Raw genomic sequence first — 4,510 nt, forward strand, 5'->3', positions numbered from 1 at the left:
TGACTATGGGCATGCCACATTTTCTAATTTAATCTTCACTATTAACATTAACTCCTTTAATTTATTAAGTCTAGACCAGCAGTCCCCAACCTTTTTGCCGCCAGGGACCAGTTTTATGGAAGACAATTTTTCCACAGCCCGGCAGCTGGGGGAATGGTTTCAGGATGAAACTGTTCCACCTCAGATCATCAGGCATTAGATTCTCATGAGGAGCACACAACCTAGATCCTTCGAATATGCAGTTCACAATAGGGTTCCCGCCCCTATGAGAATCTAATGCTGCTGCTGATCTGACAGAAGGCAGAGCTCAGACAATAATGAGAGAAATGGGGAGCAGCTGTAAATACAGATGAAGCTTCGCTCACTCTCCCACCCACAAAGACGGGTACTGGTCTGTGGCCCAGGTATTGGGGACCCCTGGTCTAGATAATCAACAAAACAGTAAATTAAGCTCTGGTTTGTAGCATTTGACAATTGCCATGATGTAAATGCTCCCACATGACTGGTATCAGGGTTGCAACCTGACAGCAGTAAACGTGCAGCTGAGAAGAGAAGCATGGTCACACACCATTACGTAGCATTGCTACCGTGGGGCTAGGTAATATCCATCATTAGGCATCAATAATAATAAAATGTGGTGAGATAATTAGAAAATGAGTTTTGTGCATTTATCATCTTTCCTTTGAATATGATTCGTTTTATTGTAAATTTACATAATTTAATTGTTAATCCTGGCTATACTTAACAACTGGCTCACAATATTCCTGAAATTTTCACAGTTGGCTCTCATGAGCCCATGCAAACCAGATCCAGCACCACTGGATGAAGGGCCTGAATGAGACGCATGCTGGTATGCAGCCCTGCCCACGCCCCTTCTCCAGGCACTGGTCCTGTCCACAGCCCTGCTACCAACAGGGCCTGAGGGCATACTGGGGCCTTGCGATGCCCCATCCAGAGCTGATTGGATCAGGTAGAACACACATGATCTAAGAGGACCCGTCCATGGACAGACTGAATCAGAGTCTCTGTTCCTCTGGATTAGAACAAAGATGCAGAGAAAGTGGCCAGCAGGTAGCAGAATAGCAAAGACACCTGGAATGAAACTGAGTTTGTTGATGATAAATGCCAGCCCTGGAAGGAAGTGTCACAGATGATCTTTGCTGAAGTCTAAAACAGCAAAGATCACCACACCTTAGAGTAAATAGCCACCCCATTCATTTCGACTAACCTGATATTGCCTGTACACAATTGTAGACAAGAGCAAGATGCTTCCACCTTCCTTGAGGAACGCCCATGGCATGGTCCTGATGGAAACGATCGTCAGTTTGATTGACATGTGGGTCCTGTGTCTTATTCTAAGGATCATACACAAAGAGTGATTGTACACACTTAGCAGTGACTGAAATAGATGCAACTCAAGGATAGGGTCAGTGAGGAGTCAACGAGACCATGTCCCTACAGAAAGCCTTCAGCGAAACGCTAGTGAACTATCAGGAAAAGCAGGCCCACAAAGATTCATTCAATTGCTGAAAATGTGAGCCAGGTTAATTTCAGGTTGCCCACATGTTTCTTTTGTTTGGTAGCAGAAAGTGTACAGCATGCCAATCCCAGCCCTGATGGAGAGAGGACATTTGGCCTTGGTGTCGTTTGATCGAATGAATAAATCTAGAGCCAGTTTTGTGCAAATCAAAAAGAGGTGAATGTTTTTATGTATTTGCTTCCTGAAACTGCTTTCTTTGTACTAATTTAACTGAAGGGAACTATACCATCCCAGGTCAGAGAAATTATCTGAATAGAAAGAAAATATAGGTCTGTGTTGACTTTCATAAGATACATATCTGTTTCCTTTTCTGTAAAATGAAGATACCTCCCAGGGATGTTGTCAGGCTCATATAAGATCCTGGGTCCATTCATTCATTCAGTCATTCACTCATTCAATATACTGATGTAGCAAAAAAGCCCTTTTAAGGTGCTGGGATCCTTTCAAGGGTATGAAAACATTCTGTAAACTACAAAGCATGACGCCTATACAAGTCACTGTTCCTTCTCATTGTTTTACATGCAGGCAGTTTATAAAGAGCATGATTAGAGAATAAAAGACAGTTTAGAAGTTAATTGTACAACATTGCATGAATCCATGACCCAGGATCTAAGGGAAAATATGCCTGGTTTGAAAGCAGCTCAGTCTGAGGCAGGGCCCTTCCTTGAGCCCCCACACTGAAGGTCTTGAGTCTTAAAACGTCAACATAAGCACTTTCCAAATGCTTGCCATCCTAAGGCTAATGTATGAGAAAAACCAAGATTTGCTTTGGAAAAAAAGGTTGATGAATTGAACGAGATGCTAATTCTAGATAAAACCTGCAGCTATCTTTAATGACGGCAGATGTGAAATCTCAGAGAATAAGCCCAACAAAAGCCAAAATGAAGATCCTTTGACAGTCTGTGTATCTATGTAAGAAATTACAAATATATCTACTAAATTGCTAAATAAGGCTAAGGCTACACAGCACACTTTAAGATCCAAGCACGTATTTAATTTCAGATCCGTGAGTTTTCTATTCATCCATATTTTAATCTTTTAGAACTCCTGAGAAAACGAAGTAAACATGTTCTTTTAAAAATAAATTCTGGGCCGGGCGCGATGGCTCACGCCTGTAATCCCAGCACTTTGGGAGGCCGAGGCGGGCGGATCACGAGGTCAGGAGATCGAGACCATCCTGGCTAACACAGTGAAACCCCATCTCCACTAAAAATACAAAAAATTAGCCGGGCATGGTGGCAGGCGCCTGTAGTCCCAGCTCCTTGGGAGGCTGAGGCAGGAGAATGGCATGAACCCGGGAGGCGGAGCTTGCAGTGAGCCGAGATCGTGCCACTGCACTCCAGCCTGGGTGACAGAGCGAGACTCTGTCTCAAATAAATAAATAAATTCTGAAGTTTGAAAATAAAAGCAGATCATTTTCTTTGGGTAAAGAACGACAGTTTCTAAGATATTGAAATTTAAACTTTGGAATCATAGTTTTAAAGAGCAGAGAATCAAACAAAATATGAGTGAAAGAAAAGTGCTTTGAAATGTAAATTATATTCCAATATTAATTTGCTAGTATCACTCACTTATTTACTTGTCAGAATAACTTTTCCAAGGAGGAGACTTTCATGTCGGATTGTGACTTACAACAATGTCCAGTTTGATGTATTGGTGGAATCAATATGACAGAATCAGCAAAGGTAAAGTCCATGATTTAATCATGCCACAGCTTGGTGAGTAAATTCACTCACCTGTGACATGCATAATTTACAACTGCAAGTTTAATAACTGTAGTTCTCCGCATCAAGCACTTTAACAACAATTTCTAACAGCAAGCAATTTCTATGATATTCCTACACAGCCTGGAGTTTACTAACCAGCTCTCCTTTGAAAATAAGTATTCATGCAAACACCAAAATCCTGCGGGAAATTTCCCCACCCCTTTTGTTAAACAGACTCAGAAACTTTGATGGCAACACAGAGAACACGTACATATTTAATTTAAATGTTATAGTTTATATTTATAAATATTCTCTCACCTCTCTTATTTTCCTAAACCAGGGGATGTTGTTAACCAAAGGCTTCACATTCTCGAAAGCATTTGTGAATGTCCTGAGGTGCTTCTCTTTGAGTTGTGTTGAAACTTACGGCCTAGGTTTATACAACTTCTAGACGAAGGCTCAATTACGATATTCGAGGCAGGTAAGTCTTATCCCCTATACAATCTTATGATGCTGGTGTCCAAGCCATTGGAATAGCTTGGTGTGATGAGCCTGACCTGCCTGAGAGCCATTGAATCTACGACTGTGCCTCATAGACATTCACTTCCCTGGTTGCTCAACTGCTGTCTCCCCTTCCTTCCCCTCAATCTTCTCACATCTTGCTTTGTTTTGTCTTCCTTATCTCTACCCCACATTATATATGGCAGTATGCGAAAGCAGTGGACTCCAAACTCTCAGAGTCCTGGCTTAGTCAATGACTCTCTGGGTGGCCTCGAGGACCTTTTGTTTGGGTCTCATTATTTGCTGTAGCTCCGGTCTATAAAGTCACTGTGAACACTGAACTCGTGCATACTGAACCATTGCTCCTAAGGAAAACACAAAGTTAGGTTCCTGTGAGCCTCTGGTTACAACACTTTCCTCAATACACAACCTTGTTTTGTGTGTGTTTCCGTGTAAAGACACCTCACTTAGTATAGATTATTGATTCATTAACGTTGAACTCACAGCCAGCAGAGTTACAATGAATGCCTGAGCAGGGTTTACCTAACACATGTGTTTTTTTCCCAAGACATGTAACAGCCTTCTTGTGCTATGAATATGGAAAGTTCTTCAGCACTACCCTTGGGGGCCATTTTAAAGAGCAAAATCACCAACTAAAAGGACGAAAATGTTAAAAACAGGGCACTCGATAGACTGAAAAGGACACTTGTTTCCCGTAGGAGAGCTGAAACAAGAAGACAGTGTTGCCTTAGCTGACCTTAGT

The sequence above is a fragment of the Homo sapiens genome, chromosome 2, assembly GCF_000001405.40.
Source record: "Homo sapiens chromosome 2, GRCh38.p14 Primary Assembly".
NCBI lineage: Eukaryota > Metazoa > Chordata > Mammalia > Primates > Hominidae > Homo > Homo sapiens.